Source organism: Homo sapiens, chromosome 1 (genome assembly GCF_000001405.40).
Source record: "Homo sapiens chromosome 1, GRCh38.p14 Primary Assembly".
Classification (NCBI taxonomy): Eukaryota; Metazoa; Chordata; class Mammalia; order Primates; family Hominidae; genus Homo; species Homo sapiens.
In genome coordinates this window covers 179605043-179626153 of record NC_000001.11, presented here as the reverse complement: position 1 = coordinate 179626153, position 21111 = coordinate 179605043, and the positions used below count along the sequence as shown (strand labels likewise).

General features: G+C 34.9%; 1 protein-coding gene across 11 annotated transcripts in view; it reads right to left on the bottom strand.

Moving 5' to 3' along the window:
- TDRD5 (tudor domain containing 5) overlaps positions 1 to 21111 on the bottom strand; it is a 99660-nt gene that overhangs the window by 65119 nt on the left and 13430 nt on the right. For 10 of the 11 annotated variants that reach the window (XM_047447750.1, NM_001349923.1, NM_001199091.2 and 7 more), the window contains exons 5-6: positions 7472 to 7555; positions 5063 to 5119 (exon numbers count right to left, since the gene is read on the bottom strand). In XM_047447750.1, the coding sequence (XP_047303706.1) occupies positions 5063 to 5119; positions 7472 to 7555 (141 nt within the window). Of the gene's footprint in view, positions 1 to 5062; positions 5120 to 7471; positions 7556 to 19893; positions 19928 to 21111 lie in introns of those variants that run through there. The other variant, NM_001199092.2, reaches the window with a different exon arrangement.

Here is a 21111-nt window from a genome sequence, read left to right as displayed (position 1 = left end):
ATGTGCCATGCTGGTGCGCTGCACCCACTAACTCGTCATCTAGCATTAGGTATATCTCCCAATGCTATCCCTCCCCCCTGCCCCACCCCACAACAGGCCCCAGAGTGTGATGTTCCCCTTCCTGTGTCCATGTGTTCTCATTGTTCAATTCCCACCTATGAGTGAGAATATGCGGTGTTTGGTTTTTTGTTCTTGCGATGGTTTACTGAGAATGATGATTTCCAATTTCATCCATGTCCCTACAAAGGACATGAACTCATCATTTTTTATGGCTGCATAGTATTCCATGGTGTATATGTGCCACATTTTCTTAATCCAGTCTATCATTGTTGGACATATGTGGAATAGTATTTTGTTGTACAAACGTACCACAATCTCTTCATTAATTCCCTTATTGATGAATAGTAGGCTTATTTCCAGTTTTGGGAGGCTATAATGTATAAAGCTGTTATGAATACTATCATATAAGTCTTTGAGGACACAGAGTTTGAATAAATATCTGGGAGTATAATTCTGGGTCAAAGGATAAATACACACTTACAAGAAATTGTAAGAACATTTTCCACAGTAGTTGTACCATTTTATACTTGCACCAAAAATGTGAGTTTATCATATGTTTATCAGTCACTCATATCTGCATTTGTGAAGTTGGGCCATTTACAAAAAGAATTGTTTGGCTTTCTATTATGGAGCTATAGACTCGTCTTTATGTATTCTGAATATAAGTCCTTTGTTAGATGTATGATTGTAAATATTTCTTCCCAGTCTGTGGTCTGCCTATTCAATTTTAAATGGGGTCTCCTAAATAGAAGCTAATTTTGATGAAGTCTCATTATCAGTTTTCTTTTAACTGATTACTGCTTCTGTGTCCTAAGAAAGCTTTGCCTGTCCAGGTCATTAATATATTTTAATTCACCTGGAAGTTTTAGACCTTTAATTTTTTCATTTAGGTCTATGATACATCTTGAAATAATTTTTGTACATGGTGTCGGGTTGGGGTTGGGATTCTTTTTTTTTTTTTTTGTATTCAGTTGTATCTTGCATTCAGTTGTTCCAGCATCATTTGTTGAAAATATTTTTTCAAACTCCTGGCTTTAAGTAATCTTTCCATATCAGCCTGCCAAAGTGCTGAGGTTACAGGCATGAGCCACCATGCCCAGAGCTGAAAATACTGTCTTATCCCTTTTGAATTCCTTTGGCACCTCTCTCAAAAATCACTTCAGTGTATATGGGTGGATCTCCTATGCATGCACTGTAAGGCCAAATTCATGGATTTGTTAGTATCTACGAATAGCCCGCAAGAATTATGATGGGGACTATATTGAATCCATACATTAATGTTATCATGTTCATATAATGTTATCAATAATGAGTCTTCTCACCCATGAGTATCTTACACCTCTCCATTTATTAGTCTTCAACTTCTCAACAATGTTTATTAGTTTTCGGTGTACATGATTTATGTTTCTTTTGTTAAACTTATTTCCAAGTAATTTGACGATATAATAAACAGAATTTAATTTCATTCTCCAATAGTTTGCTACTTACATATGAAAATACATTGATTTCCGTATACTAACCTTGTATTTTGACCTAATAAGTTAGTTCTAGTAGCTTTTTCATGGATTCCTTAGTATATTCTATATGAACAATCATGTTTTCTACAAATAAAGTTTTACGTTTTTTCTTTTAGGTTTTCATGCCTTTTATTTCCTTATTACATTGGTTAGAACTTGCAATACAATGTTGAATAGAAGCAGTATGACTGGATATACTTACCTTGTTCCAGATTTTAAGGGGGAATTGTTCAGTGTTTCACCATTGAGTATGACAAGTATATTAATAGGTTTTCACAAATGCACTTTATCCAAATGAGGAATTTCTTTTCTATTCCTAGTTTTCTGAGAGTTTTAATTGTGGATGGGTATTAAATTTTGGTAATTCTTTTTCTGCATCTACCAAAATAATCACATGGCTTTTCTTCCTTGTTATTCTATTAAAATGGTGAATTGCCTTAATTCCTTTTGAAATGTTACTCCAACCTTGCATTCTTAGGATAAACCCCTCTTGTTCAGGGATTGCTGAATTCAATTTACTACTGTTTTGTAATAGACTTTTGTGTCCACGTTACGAGAAACATGTTCTAATTGGTTTTTTGTAATGTCTATGTCAAGCTTTAGTAGCAGGACAATGTATTTATAGAATGAGTTGGGGAGGCCAGGTGTGGTGGCTCATGCCTGTAATCTCAGCACTTTGGGAGGCTGAGATAGAAGGACTGCTTTAGGGCAGGAGTTAAATACCTGCCTGGGTAACATGGTGAGACCCTGTCTCTAAAAAAAAATTTTTTTTTTAATTGGCTGGGCATGGCACCACATGTCTGTAGTCCCAGCTACTCAGGAGGCTGAGGCAGGAGGATTACTTGAGCCCAGGAGTTCAAGGCTGCAGTAACCCAAGATCATGCCACTGTACTCCAGCCTGGGTGACAGTGAGACTCTCTCTTAAAAGGAAAAAAAAAAAAAAAAAAAAAAGAATGAGTTGGAGAATATTCTCTGCTATTTTAAGAAACAATCTGTATATGACTAATATAATTTCTTCCTTAAATGTTTTAACAGAATTCACCAGCAAAACCAATATACATCCTTTTCAGTCCTACTGTACCACTTCAAATAAAATATAAGAATCTTGCAACCCTATAGTTCCAGGTACTGCCCCTCCACTCATTATGCAGTAGTTTTCATATGCATTACATTTTCATGTTATAAACCCAATTATTTAATGCTGTAATTTTTGCTTTAAACAGTCATATATTTTAACTGATCAAAAAAGGCAGTCTTTCACATATGCCCAGATATTTACTACATCCTTTATTCAATCCTTCCTAAAGATTAAAGTTCCAATCTGGCATTATTTCCTTCAGCCTGAAGAACATTATTTAGCATTCTTATAGTACCAGTCTGCTTCCAATTCTGATTACCTGAAAATGTCTATCTCATCATCTTCATTCTTGATATTATCACTGGATATAAAATATTGGGTTAACAGTACTTTTCTTTTGAGTACATTAAAGATGTCATTCCATTGTCTTCTAGCATTGCTTCAAGAGGTCAGCCATCATTTGTATCACTGTTCTCCTGTATGAAGTGTGTTATTTTTAGTCTGGCTGCTTTCAGAATTTTCTACTTATATTTGGTTTTCTGCATTTTTACTATGATGTGCCTATGTGAGGTTTTCTCTGTATTACTTGTTTGGGGTTTTCTGGGCTTCTTAGATTTATAAACTTCTTTCACAAGATTTGGGAAATTTGGGCCATTATTTTTTCAAATATATTTCTGCTGTGCTTTCTTAGGCTCCAATTATATTAATAGATACATTAGGCCATTTGGTTTTATTCCACAGGTCTCAGGTCACTCAAGTTCTATTTTGTTTCTCTGTTCTTCAAATTGGATAATTTCTATTGATCTGTCTTGAAGTTTACTAAAGCTTTCTTCTGCCATTTCCAATTTGTTGTTAGTGAATTTTTTACTTCAGATATTTTAAGTTATGAAAATAACTTGGTTTTTATAGTTTCTTTTTCTGCACTGAAATATCTTATCTCCTCATTTACTCTGAATACTTATTCCTTTATATCCTTTAATGTGGTTGTAAGAGTTACTTTAAAACCTTTTTTGCTAACTTCAATATCTGCATCATCTCAGAATTTCCATTGATCACCTTTTCTTTGTCAAGGGGTCACATTTTCTTGTTTCTTACTGTGTCTAGTAATTTTGGTTTGTGTTCCAGGCATCATGATAGATGTATTGTAGAGAATCTGGAATCTTTTATGCTCTTTTGGAGATTATTGTTTGATTCATTTTAAATTTGGCTGAACATAAACCCAAAATCTGCCACCCTTTGATGGGCAACAGCTGAAATATCTTCAGTTCTTTTAGCCTTAAAAGAACAGAGGCTGCTCTATGTCTGCCCCAAGCATGTGCAGTTAAAGGTCAGGCAGAGATCTGAGCAGAGCTTATGTGCCAGGCACTGTTCTAAGTGCCTTATTTTTAAGTCATTTAAACTTCACAAAACTCTATAAAGTAGGTATTATCTTGACCTAACATACTGTCTATAAGATAGCACACAGAATTATATATCTTAACAATTATGCTATACTATCTCACAATATCTATGTTTTTACCTATAAATATACTATAGTTTTCATGGCACAGTAGTTAAGAGTTAGGATTCTGAAGCCAGACTGCCCAGGTTAAAATCTTGGCTCCATCTATTACTGGATGTTGATGCTTAGGCAAGTTACTTCTCTGTGCCTCTATTTGTTGTGAAAACAAAATGAACATATGCCAATATGAAAGATGCTCTGGATAGAGCCTGGCACACAGTTAACATATGTATAGGACTTATCTTTTTAAAAACTGGATATATGGCATTATCTGAATTATTCTGAAACTTGATTTTTTTCACTCAACATTATGGTTTTAAAAATGATCCACGTTGCAGAGCAGATTTATTTTATACTACTACATACAATTCCATTGTATAAATGTCAATCTCTATCCATTATCCTACTGATGTCCATTTGTTTCTCATTTGTTCCTGTGTTGTGCTGTGTACTTCTTTACAGGTCTTCATGCGTACATGTGCAAGAGTTTCTCTAGAGTGCAAATGTAAAAGTGGAACTACTGGATCCCTGAGGGTGCATACCTTCAACTTTACTTGATAATGCCAAAATGCTCCCTAAGAGCATTTTGTCCCACAAGCAGTGTATGAAGTATTCTGCTTCTCTGCATTCCCACTGACACTTGGTATAACACTGTCAAACATTAATGGGATAATCTTTATTATAATAATATTATAACAATAAGTGGTAAAAATATCCTTCCTATGCATAATCAAGTATTTGTTAAAGATCATATTCTCAAGTCTTATAATATACTAAAATGCAAAACAAAATGTTTCCGTTTTAGAGCATAGACCTGGAGAATCCAAGGAGTAGCCACAAAATTCCATCTATCACAAGAAATATAAGCCATAAAAAATTAGGGTTGGGGAAAAGCAAAACACTTACCTCATACTCTCCAAGCAGTTTAGAAATAAACAAACCCTCTGGGAACTTAGATACAACCTAACAAATAGAAAGTGAAATACAATATAGACACACTGAAATGCTGAGTGACACAATATTAAAATAATATAAACAAATAACAACAAAGGCAAAAGTAACATTATTAAATGAATTTTAGTCATATTAAATTGTTTTTTTTTGAAAATGAGTTTCCAGTTTTAAAAAACATTAGAACAAAAAGAGACTGTGATTTCCAACATTTCCAGAGTTGAGAAATGATTATTACATGCTACTGCAATACCACAACTCTCCAGAAATTCCTGCACTTCTTTAAGCTCAGCTAACACATTTAGCTTCAGCTCACATAAAACATCCTATAGCACAGTTTCAAGCATTTTAATTGTTAGAAAAGAAATGCAATAAACATTAGAAAAAACTTTGGAAAATACAGTTAAGCAAAAATAAAAGATCTGTTAAGAGCATTATTGTCCATACGTACATCAAAATATCTATTTAATATTAAAACAAGGTCAATATTTCTATAGCCAGCTTTTAAATATCATACCAAAGACATCTTTCCATGTCAGTAAAAACATAAACATTTTCACTGGCTACAGATTTTTCAAAATATTAAAGACACCTAAATGTATTTGATCTTCTATTTTGTTTCTTATTTTTCATCCCAAATATTGTAATGATTATCCTCATGCTTGAGTTCTGCATACTAGTTCAATGATTTTTAGAATAATTTCCTAAAGGTAGACTTACTCTATCCCAATAAAGTACAAAAATCTTTGTTTTCTAAATTTTTCCAGATATATTTTATACAAAATTCTAATCAAGCTTCAGAAAAATCTAAAGTAAAAATTATTTCAAAATCCTGTGACCCAGAGACAGCCATTGCTACATTTAGAGAAACACCCTTTCAGAAACTCCTTTATGTGTGCACATGTTATTCATGGTTTTATATCAAAGAACAATTCTGAACACACTATTCTATAAAACCTGTTTTTAAAGTACAACAATAAGTCAAGGAGAAACTTCCATGTAAACTGAGAGAGACATATATAAACTTTCTCATAAGCTACATGACATCCCTAGTTTGGAGAATATCCAATATTGATACATAACCAATCCTTTAAAATTAATGCCTAATTTTTCTCCAATTTTTGGTACCACAAAAAAATCATATTCACTCTTGTAATCCCAGCCTTTGGGAGGCTGAAGTGGGGGAATGCCTAAGGCCAGGAGTTCAAGACAGGCCTGGGCAACAGAGCAAGACCCTGTCTCTACAAATTTTTTTTAATTAGCTGGGTGTGGTGGCATGCACCTCTAGTCCCAGCTACTCGGGAGGCTGATGTGAGAGGATTGCTTGAGCCCAGAGTTGATGGTTGCAGTGAGCTATGATTGCACCACGGCATTCCAGCCTGGGTGACAGAGCAAGACCTTGTCTCTTAAAAAAAAAAAAAGTCATATTGAATGTCCTTTAACAAGTAATTATTGGACACTTGCTCAAGTGTCTAAACAAAAAAACAGGGCCTGAATGCATCAAGGTTTTTGCATCTCTCCTAGTAAAATCATGACAGTTGAAATGGAATAATATAAGGCAGTACAAGCTGTAATAGCACCTTGATTACTCAAAGCAGGATTAACAGCTCCCACAAAAAATTTAAGTGTACATAACTCTTTGGCTCAATACATAACACCAAAGAGTTTTCACTTGTTAGTAAGGTAAAACAAATAAGACTAATGACATAAACAGGCAATTCACATAAAAAATATATGTGACTAATAAGCACATGAAAAGATGCTTAATGTAAAAATCAAAAGATAAACTAAAACAACGTGATGGGATAGTAACACCTGTCAGTGGGAGTATAAATCTGTTCAAGCATTTTAGAGGGCAATTTAGTAATATTTATAATCAAAACATAAGATGCCTCTGACTAGCAATTCCACTTCTAGAAAAATGTCCATGGACATTAACTGGAGAACTTTTTCCACAGTCAAAGATAAAAACACCAAAACTTTAATCAATCATGGATCTCTACATGAAACAGGGTACATCAATGTAATGGGATAACACACATTGGAACAATATTTAATGTACATTTATAAAATTGGTATTTGGAAAGATCTTGAACTGTTTGTCAACAGTGATCTATTGGGATGAGGGGAAGAAGGAAAGGAAGAGAGAACTTATGGAAGAACTTATTTACTAAATAGTTTTATGTTAAAAATTTTTAGGAGTACGTATTTTGTTTCTTTTTCTTAGTCTAAAAGAATTGTTGCTTAGTTTGCAGTATATTAAAGATTAGATGTAAATTAATACTTGCAGACAAACTCAACCACAAATGATATATAAATTTATAAATCAATTATTATTGTCTCCCAGAAACAGAAATTACTTACAAATTTTATCTTATGTTTTAGTTCTGAACTGATAGTTCCTCCAGGTCCAATCTGTGCAATAACTGATTTGAATGTGTTCTCCAGCTATGAAAAAAGAAAAAAAAAGTCAAGTCACAGTCCCCCTGACCAAAGAAAGTCAAAGGTAGATCTAAGCAATATGTAAAGAAAAAATCTATAAAAGGAGACATATTGCAATTAAATAGACAAAATACTGTTCTTAAGAGGAACTGTAGCATTTCATACCATACAAAATACACTTAGAGTAGATAGAATCATTATGAAACTAAATGCTGAGGAATTTTCTAGGCTAACAAACATTCTCTAACAATTATTCTAGAGTCTATTACTCAATCCCATACTCTTACCCAGAAAGAATTTTTGTTACTAATTTTCTCCTATTTATAAAAGTACTCCATGTTTATTGAAAACATACTTAATGAATGCCTAATGCAGGGAAGAGATGGGATGGTGGAACGTCCCTGGACGGTGGGACAACTGGCCCTAAAGGACAGGAAGGAAAAGTTTTTCTGTTGTAATAGAAGCAAAGAGAGTGGGGGAAAAGGTAAGGGTACAAAGAAAGGCTCTGTGAATGTGGAGTCAGAAGGTACAGAGAGTTAAAATCTGATAGCTCCTGCATTCTCTGAGTTCAGAAGCAAGGCCCACTCCTGAAAGTAAAAGGAAAGAGGAGGGAGGTCAGACATTTGAGAAAGTAGAAAAGGTGGGAAAATAAAGTTAAGGAAATATTGGATGATAATCTAAACTTAGCAGGTAGGAAGTCAGGACAGGAGGAATCTGAGTTAAGACAGTAGAGTCTGAGGATTTTAGTAGAGAGAAGTCAATGGCATACAGAGGCCCCACTAAAATAAAATGATCATGCATGGGAATAATTGAGAAGTAAGCTGGAAGGACAGGAGGATGTGATCAGAAAGTAGCAGGGAGAACATCCATTTAGCCAAGGTCCAGTGAACAGCCACAGCAGGAGAACTAAAGCAGAGTGAAAGATTGTAGAGTTTTGTTCAATCGACATTAAAGTAGATAACTGAATGTAAAAAAAAAAAGTTAAGTCACAAAGATATAAAGAAAAATACCAATTACCTAAAATCCTACCACCCAGACACAATCACTATTAATACTTTTTCCTTCTAAACTGTTTCTTTTGGTCTTTCTTCTCTTACTTGGCCTGACATTACTTACAAACTGTGTAACCTTTTAGGTCTCAGTTTCTTCACCTGAAAAATGAAGATAATCTCCATCTCTCACAAGGCTGACAAGAAAACTAAATGTGATGAGGCACGAAGAGTGCATAACATAATGCCTGGCACATGGTGTGAGCATGACCCTTGCCTGCTCCTCTGGCAAGCAGCGCTTACATGGCAGGATTCTCCCTCTGGAACTGACTACTCTTCTTTTCATCCAATACCATTGGCACAGCATTCAGCAGAAGCCCCTCCAAGTTTTGGCAAGTACATGGCTCCCTATCAAGTTTATGAGGGTTTTCCCCTATTTTCACATTTTCTTGGGCATTTCCATGGGTCTGGGAAGGAGAGGATTAGATACCTATGATTATATCGTTAGCTTTAACAAAAGGTACCTAGCCCTTAGTCTTAGATTCTTTACATTTCTTCTGTAGTTGCCATGAGATAATTTCCTAAAGCTCTCCCAGTGAACAGTAAGATAATCTTTCTAAATATAACTGATCTTTCCATCCGAAGGTTCCTCCCATTTGCAGATTCAATAACAATAATGTATTAAATTATCACTGTGCTAGGTGTTTCAGGGACAAAAAAAGATTACCTTTGATGGTGTAATTCCTCTCAGGGCACTTAAAATTAAGTAGGGAAGTGAGATCAACGCATAAACATCTATAACCTAAGGCTGTAAGTGCCAGAAGGCTTCCTTTTATAAGGATCTTGCAGGATGGAGAGAATTCTGCAGACAGACATGGTAGAGAGAACATTGAAGGTAGAAGGAACTTCATAAAGAAAATTGAATAAAATAGTTTGCCTAAGGCATTAGGGAAATAGTGAAAGAAAAACTAGAAAGGTGGATTAATGTCCTATTACAGAATACCTTAAATGCCAAGCTAAGGAGTTTTTCTTGGTTATACAAGCAAAAACAGAGATACTGATACTAGAGATTTTTAGCAAGGGAGACAGATTATCAGAACTGTAATCTGGCAACAGAAAATTAGATTGGATGGGTGGACAACCAGTTAGGAAACCACTGCAACTCTCTAGGCAAGAGTTTTAACTGGGGTGCTGGGAGAGAATAGAAAAAGAAGGGATATGACAAAGGTGGAATCCAGAGAAATTAGGAAAGACAATGGAGAGGAAGGAATCACTGATTCTACAGGGATGAATGATGAGACCAGAGAAACAGCCTCAAGGACCTCAAGTTCTATGTAGGAAACAAAAGTACCGTGGAACAAAGAGGTAGGCTTTTGTTGTTTTTTAATCAATTATAAAAGCTTGGAAAACTGGGAGGTAAATGGCAGGATGGTGATTACAGACTTGATGTGTCTCTCTGGATCATGGCTTATGACAAAGGTCAGCAAATTATGGCCTCTTTTTGTGCTTCCCATAAGCTAAGAATGGTTATATTTTTAAATGGCTGTGGGAAAAGGTATTATTTGTGACATGTGAAAATTATATGAAATTCAAATTTCAGTGTCCATAGTTTTATTAGAACACAGCCATATTCACTCATTCATATATTGCCTATGGCTGCCCTAGTGCTATAAGGACAATGTTTAGTAAAAGCAGAGAATATTTAGCCTGCAAAGCCTCAAATATTTACTATGTAATCTGTTAGAGAACATATTTGCCAATCTCAGGTTTAAGATAGCAAAATGATGAGCTTTTAGCTAGGAATAGAATGCTTCTGAAAAAAGTTAAAAAAAAAAAAAAGTTTACCTCAAGCAAAATGTCTAAATTAAGGTGACTTTAAACTGAATGCAGTGGAGATTTTTTAAAGCCCAGGAAAAGTTAGGGATATCTATAATTATAGAGGGCAGAAGTTATAATGTGGAATGGAAAAGTAAGATTGGGAGGTAATCAGTGATTTCAACAACGCTTTTAGTGTCAGATGCTATACATCAAACATGAAGAATGGGGAATAAACCAAGCGAATGAGATAGAACTAGAAAATGAAGATGGAAAGTGATAAAATATGCTATATTCAGATAGGAGCTTATAGGACCTCAGAAGAGAAAGAGCTTTCAATCAAAAAGATATACTCTTCAGAAAAATGAATCAAAACATGAATAGGCAATAAAATAGAAGACTAAGTAGCAAATTAAAGCATAAAGTTCAACCTCAAATACATACACGTTAACAGAGACAGTTATTTGCCCATCAAATTATAAAATTTTAAAAATACCCACTTACTCATTCAACAAATAGGTATTGAGATCATACTATGTGCTGTACACCGTATTAAGTGCTGGATATACAGAGGTAAATAAGCTAGATATGGTCCCTGTCCTCATGGAACTTGCAGAGATAGACCTGAATCGATCATATATATATGTAATTACAATTATTATAATGAAAAAACCCAGAGTCCACATGATCTTACTTATATGGGAAGTGCATAAAAGTCAAACTTGTAGACACAGAGTAAAATCGTGGTTACCAGACACTGAGGGGTGGGAGGATTGAGAAGACATTGGCCAAAGGACACAAACTTTCAGTTAGGAGGAGTAAGTTCAAAAGATCTATTGTGTATCATGTTGACTACACTTAACAATATATTGTGTATTTGAAAATTAAGAGTAAATTTTAAGTGTTCTCATCACAAAAAATGACAAGTATGTGAGGTAATACATGTCAAACAGCTTGATTTAGCCATTCCACAATGTATACATACATCGAAACATCAAGTTGTGCACCATATATAAAATTTTTACTCATCAATTAAAAATATTTTTAAACCCCCCCTCCCCCGAGTGTCACAAAAGGATAATACACCTGAAGGTATCAGAAAGGAAATGCAGGTGGGTGGGGAGGGATCTCTGAAGGAAACTCCATTTGTACTGAGTACCAGCAAAGGTACAAGGAAAGGAGCACACACACAATCTATGTGAGTGTCAACTGAAACAATTCTTATGGATGACAACCTAGCCACATACAAGATAAGCCATAAAAGTAAACATTCCTTTCAATCAATGATGGCTCTTCTAGAAATTTATCCTGTGGAGTAACAGAGATGTGTGCATACTTGAGCAAGATTTTCATCATAAGGTTATTTTTAATAGCAAAAACTGAAAATAGAGCAAATGCCCAACTTAGGCTACAAGTCAAATTATGGCACATTCATATCATCATTTAAAATTATGGCACATTCACACCATCATTTAAAATCATGGCACATTGATACCATCATTTAAAATTATGTTGCATTAGAATATTTAGTAATGTGGCACATTCGCAATGCATAAGAGGAAAAAAAGCAGGTCACAAACTAAGAACCAGAATGATTTTAATTTTTTAAGTCAAATTTTCATGTGATAAGAGTACACAGGTGATCTTTATTTTCTTTTGTGCTTTTCTGTATTTCAAGTTTTCTGTAATCAATCTATATTACTTTTGTAATAAAAAAATTTAAAAACAGACACCTGGATAATTTAGAAACATTATCTAATGATGAAAGCACTTTGGAAAGAGGATGCACATGGCTAAAAGCAGAAAGAAACAGAAGTCACATCTCAGATGAATATACTTCAGACCTTTTGGCCATATGGGAAAACATTAATACATTTCTTACAAAGATCACAAAACTGGCACAGAAACATACAGCACCAATGCTTTCAGCTGCTTAAATATTTGTTAGGTATATGCTATAGTATAGATGTATCCCTCTCTACTCCCCACTCCCCAAATCCCTAAGTTGAAATCCTAACCCCCAAGGTGATAGTATTAGGAGGTGGAGCCTTTGGGAGCTGATTAGATCATGAGGGAAAGGCCCCCATGAATGGGATTAGTGCCCCTATTAGAGAGGCCTTGGCGAGATCCCTTGCCCCTTTTGCATTGTGGGGACACAATGAAAGACCTCTATCTATGAATGAGGAAGAAGGATCTCACTGGACACCTTATATGCCAGAGCCATGATCTTTGACTTCAAGATGTTGAAAAATCCATGCTTCCAAGAATGTTGAAAAATAAATATTTGTTGTTTACAAGCCACCCAGTTTGCGGTAGCTTGTTATAGCAGCCAGAACTAAGACCCTATAAATAGGATTATGTAGGGTCTGACTTATTTGACTAAAGCCAGGCAGTATGGAATTTGATTTGCCATACTAAATACTTCATCTGAACTTGTGGGAAAACAGCTACAGAAAAGCTACTCTAAGTTGGCCAGAGAATATAACCCCCAGAGAACTGCATTAATTAACCCACTGAATAGCTCCTTCTGATAATTGTTAATATATCCAATTATTTATGAAGGATACTCTTGAACTACAGTTGAGTCAGGTTATCAGGTGAAATAAAATGTTTCACCTCTTATATGCAATGCCAAGCAAAGCATCTAATTCATGTAAAAACTATCAATTGTTTAGGTGCAAATTAAAAGTTAGGTGCAAACTAAGACCACCCTGATTTCATTTAGATGAGAAGATATTTATTTATAAGTCCAAGTTTATCTACCTTAATCTCATGGTGAATGTTACAATAAGGTCTTGAATCTGTAAGACAGAGGGGGCAGGGAATAGGTAGAATGGGGTACTCTTTTTTTTTTTTTTTTTTTTTGAGACAAAGTCTCACTCTGTCACCCAGGCTGCAGTGCAATGGCACAGTCTCGGCTCACTGCAACCTCTGCCTCCTGGGTTCAAGAGATTCTCCTACCTCAGCCTCCTGAGTAGCTGGGACTACAGGCATGTGCCACCACACCCCAGCTAATTCTTGTATTTTTAGTAGACATGGGGTTTCACCATGTTGCCCAGGCTGGTCTTGAACTCCTGACCTCAAATGATCCACCCACCTCCGCCTCCCAAAGTGCTAGGATTACAGGCATGAGCCACTGCACCTGGCAGGATGATGTACTCTTAAATGGTATTAAGACTAGAGATCCTAGAAATGCCAGATCTCTGTTCCTTGACAAATTGCTACTCTTAAAGGTAAATACCTATTAATAGAAAGCAACGTAATCTGTGGTCTAGAACTACACACAATGCAGAAAATTCTGATGACCTGGGCTGGACACAGCATCTGAGGCTTCACCCACTAGAAAATATAGCTAAATTCATATGCTATTCACCCATTAAAATGTTCATTTCTCCTCTAAATTCCCTCTCAAGAAGTCAAAATAAAGAAAATTGAACGCCTTTCAAAAGAGGCTTTAAACTGTTCTAACACATTGCTTTGTGAAATAAAGCAATGGGCAGGGGTGGGATACAAAAGGCCAAGCCAGCCTGTTTCTCTTGCAAGAGGAAAGTGAAGACATTCTGATCCTCATTTTACAAAGGAAAAACTTTTTTTTCTTCATTTTAATAATATTTTCTTGTGACAAAAATGATGCATGTTCACTTTGGAAGAACAAAAGATACAGATGATCAAAAAGAAAAAAGTTTACACTTTAATTTTGTAATATATTTTTCTATGCACATAAAAACACAAACTTGTAGAGTTTTGAGGGAACACCTAACAAACTAATAGATCTACAGTTTTGAAGAAATGGAAAGTTGCACTTTTTGTAAATAGGATTATGTGAGGTCTGATAATTTTGTAGTGTTTGTCCTACCATAAATTAAAATACATAGTTTGGGAATTAGAACCCACACCCCCTCTCAGAACAAGATTTAAATTGTTCTGGTGGCAAAAACTTCAACTGGAAGTGAAATGTGGTTATTAGGCTGCATCTATGAGGAATTATTAGAGCTGCAAAACTCAGGATGAAACTCAAAGAAAAGATAGAAGAAAGTGTATCTGCATCTCTCTCACTCCTCAACTTGGAGCCATGCCATGAGCAAATGTCCTCAACTCTGCATTCGTTATTGCCTGGCTCTCACAGTTAAAAGGCAGAGTCTTCCTGCTAAATTCTATAGAGTGGGAAGTTTCTGAAAAAAGAAATATACATTATAATTAATTTTTTTTGGAACTTTTAGTCAGCACAATAAATTTAGAAAATGGAAATAAGAACTTTAAATACTGAAAAGGGCACAGCAAATCTACTGTTCATAAATGGTAGGGTAGTCTACTTGGAAAACCTATGGGAAAACTATTGAAACAACCAAGTTTGCTAAGGTAGTTTCAAAATAATATTTAATAGTCAATTTCTTTCTTTCTGAACCATGAACACTTAGAGTTCCAGTCTTAATGGCAAAAACAGTATCACAACTAGCCAGGCATGATGGCTCATACCTATAATCCCAGCACTTTGGGAGGCCGAGGCAGACATTCAAGGTCAGGAATTCGAGACCAACCTGGCCAACATGATGAAACCCCATCTCTACCAAAAAATACCAAAATTAGCCAAGTATGGTGGCAACCCCTGTAATTCCAGCTACTTGGATGGCTGAGGCAGCAGAATAGCTTGAACCCAGGAGGTTGCAGTGAGCTGAGATCACACCACTGCATTCCAGTCTGGGTGACAGAGCAAGGCTCCATCAAAAAAAAAAAAAGTATCACAACATACAATATCTAAGAATACAATTTCGAGAAATGTGCCAAACTCTAATAAAGAAAACTAAATATCTGCAATGAAAGGCATAAGATTAATACTTGAATAAATAGACAACTACAACATGTCAATGAATGAATACACTTAATGAAATGCATGAAGTCTCTTCAAAAATTTTAAACTTAATTCTAAGAAATCTCATTGAAATTTTGGAACTTACAAAAACAATTCTAAACTTTCAGGAAAAAAATAGAAAAAAAGTCTGAAAGGAGACTAACCAGGGGAGACCCGTCTTAAAAAACATTAAAATGAATTTAAAAGTAACTTAAAAGTAATAAAAATGGCTGACTAAAAAAAATCAACTTTGTCAGTAACCAAAAATGGATGTGAAACAATCAGACTCTATGTTTAGCTTTTTGATGAGAAAAAATTTTTGTACTTAACCATCTTTCAAGGATTGACATTTGAGTTAATAACCACACAGAATCCTAAGAGTTATATAATTAGAAAGTATGGAAAAAAAAGACACTACCACACTCTGAGTTGAAACATATATTGATACTTTTCTGGAGGTCAATTTAACAAAAGCCATTTTAAAAAATGAAGACTTTCTTTGATGAAAAGAATGAGAAATAACTGAACAATTCATGATAATCTTTCTGAATTTCAAAGAAAAAGAATTTGACAAGCATGCAGTTAGCCAGCTTACCTACAAAGGAAGAAAAACAGGCTGGTTTCAGGCTTCTTTGGCACAGGAAATGTCAAAAGAAATCAAAATAATCTAAAAATAGGAAAATTACTAAGAAAGCAACATAAATGAACACTCTTTCTTGGTAGTAAGACTATAACTCTTTTTAGGCTGAGTTTTCTGTATTAAGAATTACTTTCACCATTTAAAATAAAAGTTATGGCTCCCACTCTCCTGCCATAAATAACTAGAAAATTGGGAAAATGTATGAAACAACAATTTAGAGCTGTTGAATAACAATGCAGAACTGAGAGGTGAGCCTTGAACCCACCCCTCCTACACCCTGCCCACCTTACAGTCTGGAGAGCTTTCAGGATATGGTGTAGGAAGAAGTAACAGAAACAGCCTGGCAGTCTAGATGAATTGAGGAGACAGATTCTGAGATGATGAGGATGCTAAAATTTGCAGGATTGAATATGGAAAAGGAGGAGTGACACAGAAATAGCTCTAGAGATCTGCAGAGGAACTCCCTTAAGTTTCTAGATGAGTACTGATTTGCGCAAGTGGAGAGAAGTTCTTTGAGGCTGGAGAAACAAACAAGAAGCAACAGGCTGAACAATACTCCAAACTCACACAGGGCTAGGAACAGTAGGAGTACTTCGTAATACATTGAGTCAATCCTTAGAAAGGTAATGCTTCAGTGGTGGGGCTAAATTAGCCCTAGATTGAAGGCTGTTCTGGACCTGCAGGTCTTGGTCTGCTCAGGCTGCCATAACAAAATACCATAGACTGGGTGGCTTAAATGACAGAATTTTTCTTACAGTTCTGGAGGCTGGGAAGTCCAAGATTAAGGCATAGGTTGAACATCACAAATCCAAAAATCTGAAATTTGAAATGCTCCCAAATCCCAATCTTTCAATGCCAACACGATGCCACAAGTGGAAAATCCCATACCTGACTTTATGTGATGAGTCACAGTCAAAACACAGTCAAGACTTTGTTTCATGCACAAAATTATCTAAAATATTGTATAAAATTGCCTTCAGCTTATGTGTATAAGGTATATATGAAACATATATGAATTTCATATTTAGACTGGGATCCCATCTCCAAGATATCTCATTATGTACATGCAAATATTCAGATAAGGGATACTCAACCAAGCATTTCAGATAAGGGATATTTGACCTGTACTACCCAATTTGGTTCCTGGTGAGCACTCTCTTTGATGGCCACCTTCTTGCTGTGTACTTATATGGCCTTTTCTCAGGGTGTTCCCGTGGAGAGAGCAAACTCTCTAGTGTCTCTTCTTATAAGCTATTCATCCCATCATAAGGACCCCACCTTCATAACCTAATCTAACTTTAATTACTTCCTAAAGACCCCATCTCCTAATATCATCATATTGGAGGCTGGGGCTTAAATATATAAATATAGGGAGAACATAATTAAGTCTATAATACCCACTCTAATACAGCTTAAAAGAAAAACTCAAAATGATCAAATTGAGTCAAAGTAATTTATATGTAAAGCCCAACAATGAAATATTCACAATGGTCTAGCATCCAGTCAGAAGTTACCAGCCATGTGAAGTGGTAGAATATGATCATGTTAGGGAAAAAAATCAATAGGAAAAAAAAAACAGAAATGGCACAGATAATAAAACTAGACAAGCCCTCTAAAACAGTTATTACAAACCTTATACATATGCTTATGTCCATAAAGAAATTATTAACATAATGAATAGAAGAAATGAGTATATTAAAAAGACCCACGTGGAATACCTGAAGATTAAAAATGCAACATCTGAATGAAAAATAATCTGGATGGAATTAGGTTACATTCTGGAGAAAAGATTAACCAGTTTGAAGACAGCAATTGAAACTATATAAAATGAAGCACACAGTGGGGAAAAAAGAGAATTGTAATGAAAGAGTGTCAGTGACCTGCAAGAAAATAACAAGCAGTCTAAAATAGATGTGATTGTACTCCAAAAGAGGAGAGAAAAATATTTGAAGACAAAATTTCTAGATTTCATGAAAATTATAAACCCACATACAAGAAGCTCAATGATATAAGAAGCTCAATGAATCTCATGCAGAAAAAAAATAAAGAAAAGTACAACAAGGGATACTACAATCAAACTGTGGAAAACCAAACAAAGAGAAAATCCTGAAAGCATCAGAGGGAAAAAACACATTATGTACAGAACAAAGATAAGAATTATTACAGACATTGTCAGAAACTACGAAGACAAAAAAATGGAATAACATCTCTGAAGCACTAAAAGGGGGCAAAAACTATCACACCAGATAGAATTCTATACCTGGAAAAATAATATTTCAAAATGAAAATGACAAATAGACTTTTTCAGATGAATAAAAGCTAAGAATATACACCACTAGCAGATTTATCTTACAGGATATGTTAAAATTTTCCAAGCAGAAAGAAAATTATACTGGAGAGAAATTTAAACAGAAAGAATTGGAGAGCATCAGAAATAAGTGTAAGTAAACAAGTTTTTTTCATTTTTAATCTCTTAAAATTTGACTTTTATGTTTTTAATATTTTAGTATTAAAATAAATATTTCTATTTACCTTAAACATTTTCTAAGCAAAAATAACAATGTATTAAGAGGTATATAAAATGAGAACTAAAATGTATCACAATAAGAGCACAAAGGATGGAAGAGGGGAAATGTAAATTTACTGTCCCGAGGTTCTTACATTTTATATGAAATGTTATAATATTATATGCAGGTCAATTGTGATAAGTTAAAAATATAGGTTGAAAACCCTAAGGCATCCACTAAAAATATAAAACAGAAAAATATAGATAATAAAAAAGATAAAGTGGAATCCTAAAAAAAACACTTAACCAGGTACAAGGCAAAGAGTGTTCCCTCCCACTGCTTTGCAACATCTTGCTGGAGTCCTAGCAAATGCAGTAAGTCAAGAAAAGGAAATGAAACAAACAGACTGGGAAGGAAGAAATAAAACTGTCCTTTATTCACAGATCACATCATCTATGTAGAAAATAGGACAGAATTTTTTAAAAACTCCTGGAACTAATTAGCAATTATAGCAAGGTTGCAGGATGCAAGGTTAATGTACAAAAGTCAATCATTTTCCTATATTCCAGTAATAAGTGAAATTTGAAATTTAAAAAATACTATTTACATTAGCACTCCCCCAAATATAATACTTAAGTATAAATCTAAAAAAATATGTACAAGATCTGTATGAGGAATACTACAAAACTCTGATGAAAGATATCAAAGAAGAAATAAACGGATAATTATTCCATGTTCATGGATAGAAAAACTCAATATTGTCCAGATGTTAGCTCTTCCCAACTTGATTTATAGATTCTATTCAATCCCAAACAAAATCTCAGCAAGTAATTTTGTGAATATCAACAAACTGATTCTGAAGTTTATATAGGAGGCAAAAGATCCAGAATAGCCAACAAAATATTGAAGAATAAAGCCAGAGGATTGACACTACCCAACTTCAAGACTTATTGAAAAAGCTACAGTAACCAAATAGTGTGGTACTGGTGAAAGAACAAATAGACCAGTGGAACAGACTAGAGAACCTAGACATAGACTCACATAAATACAGTGAACTGATCTTTGATAAAGGAGCAAAAGCAACCAATGAATCAAACATAGTCTTTTCACAAATGGTACTAGAATTGAACATCCACTTGCAAAAAAACCCACAAAAACGACCCCACACACACATATCTAGACCTTACACCCTTCACAAACATTAACTTAAAATGGATCATAGACCTAAATGTGAAATTCAAAACTATAAAACTCTTTGAAGATAACATAAGATAACACTAGCTGACTTTGGATAAGGCGATGAGTTTCTAGAAACAACACCAAAGGCACAATACATGAAAGAAATAATTGATTGCCTGGTCTTAAGATTAAAAACTACTTCTCTGTAAGACAAGTCAAAAGATTGAGAAATAAGCCACAGAATAGAAGAAAATATTTGCAAGACACATCTGATAAAAGACTATTATTAAAAACAAAACAAAACAAAGAACTCTTAAAACTCAGCAATAAGAAACAATCCAATTTTTAAAAAATGGGCAAAATACCTGAACAGACCTCTCACTAAAGAAGATATACCAGATGGCAAGTAAGCATATGAAAAGATGTTCAATATCATGTCATGAGGGGATTTCAAATTAAAACAGCAATAAAATATCACTATACAGTATTAGAATGGCCAAAATCTAAAACACTAGCAACACCAAATGCTGACCAGCAATGGGGAACAACAGAAACATTCACTCATCACTGGTGAGAATGCAAAATGGTACCACCACTTTGGAAGGCAGTTTAGCAGTTTCCTATAAAAACAAACATATCTTTATCTGACAATTTAGCAACTGTACTCCTTAGTATTTACCCAAATGAATTGAAAACTGCTATCCACACAAAAAACCCACACACGTTTATAGCAACTTTATGAGGAAACAAGCAAGACGTCCTTCAGTACAAGTGGATAAACTGTGGTACCAGACAATGGAATATTACTCAGTGCCAAGAAGAAATGCATTATAAAGCCATGAAAAGACATAAAGGAACCTTAAATGCATATTACTAAGTGAAAGAACCCAATCTGAAAGGCTACATGCTGTAGAAGTCCAACTATATGACTCTCTGGAAAAAGCAAAACTATAGTGACAGTAAAAAGATCAGTGGTTACCATGGGATTAAGAGACGAGACAGATGAACAGGCGCAAGCACAGAGGACTTTTAGGGGAGTGCAACTATTCAGTATGACACTACAATAGTGGATATATGTCATTACATATTTGTCAAAACCTGCAGAATGTACAACACCAAGAGCAAACCCTCCTACCCCCCACCTCCTCCTGAACAGGTGCTGGTATTCACGGCTGAGAGACCTCATTGTTGCAAGATGAATGCAACAAATAGCAGGATTAATGCAATAGTACCTCACATCTCAAAACTAACATCGAATGCAAATGGCCTAAATGCTCCACTTAAAAGATACAGAACTGCAGAATGGATAAGAATTCCACAACCAACTATCTGCTGCCTTCAGGAGACTCACCTAACACATAAGGACTCACATAACTTAAAGTAAAGGGGTGGAAAAGGCATTTCATGCAAATGGACACCAAAAGCAAGCAAGGGTAAGTATTCTTATATCAGACAAAACAAACTTTAAAGCAACAGCAGTTAAAAGAGACAAAGAGGGACATTATATAATGGTAAAGGGCCTTGTCCAACAGGAAAATATCACAATCCTAAACATATATGCACCTAACACTGGAGCTCCCAAA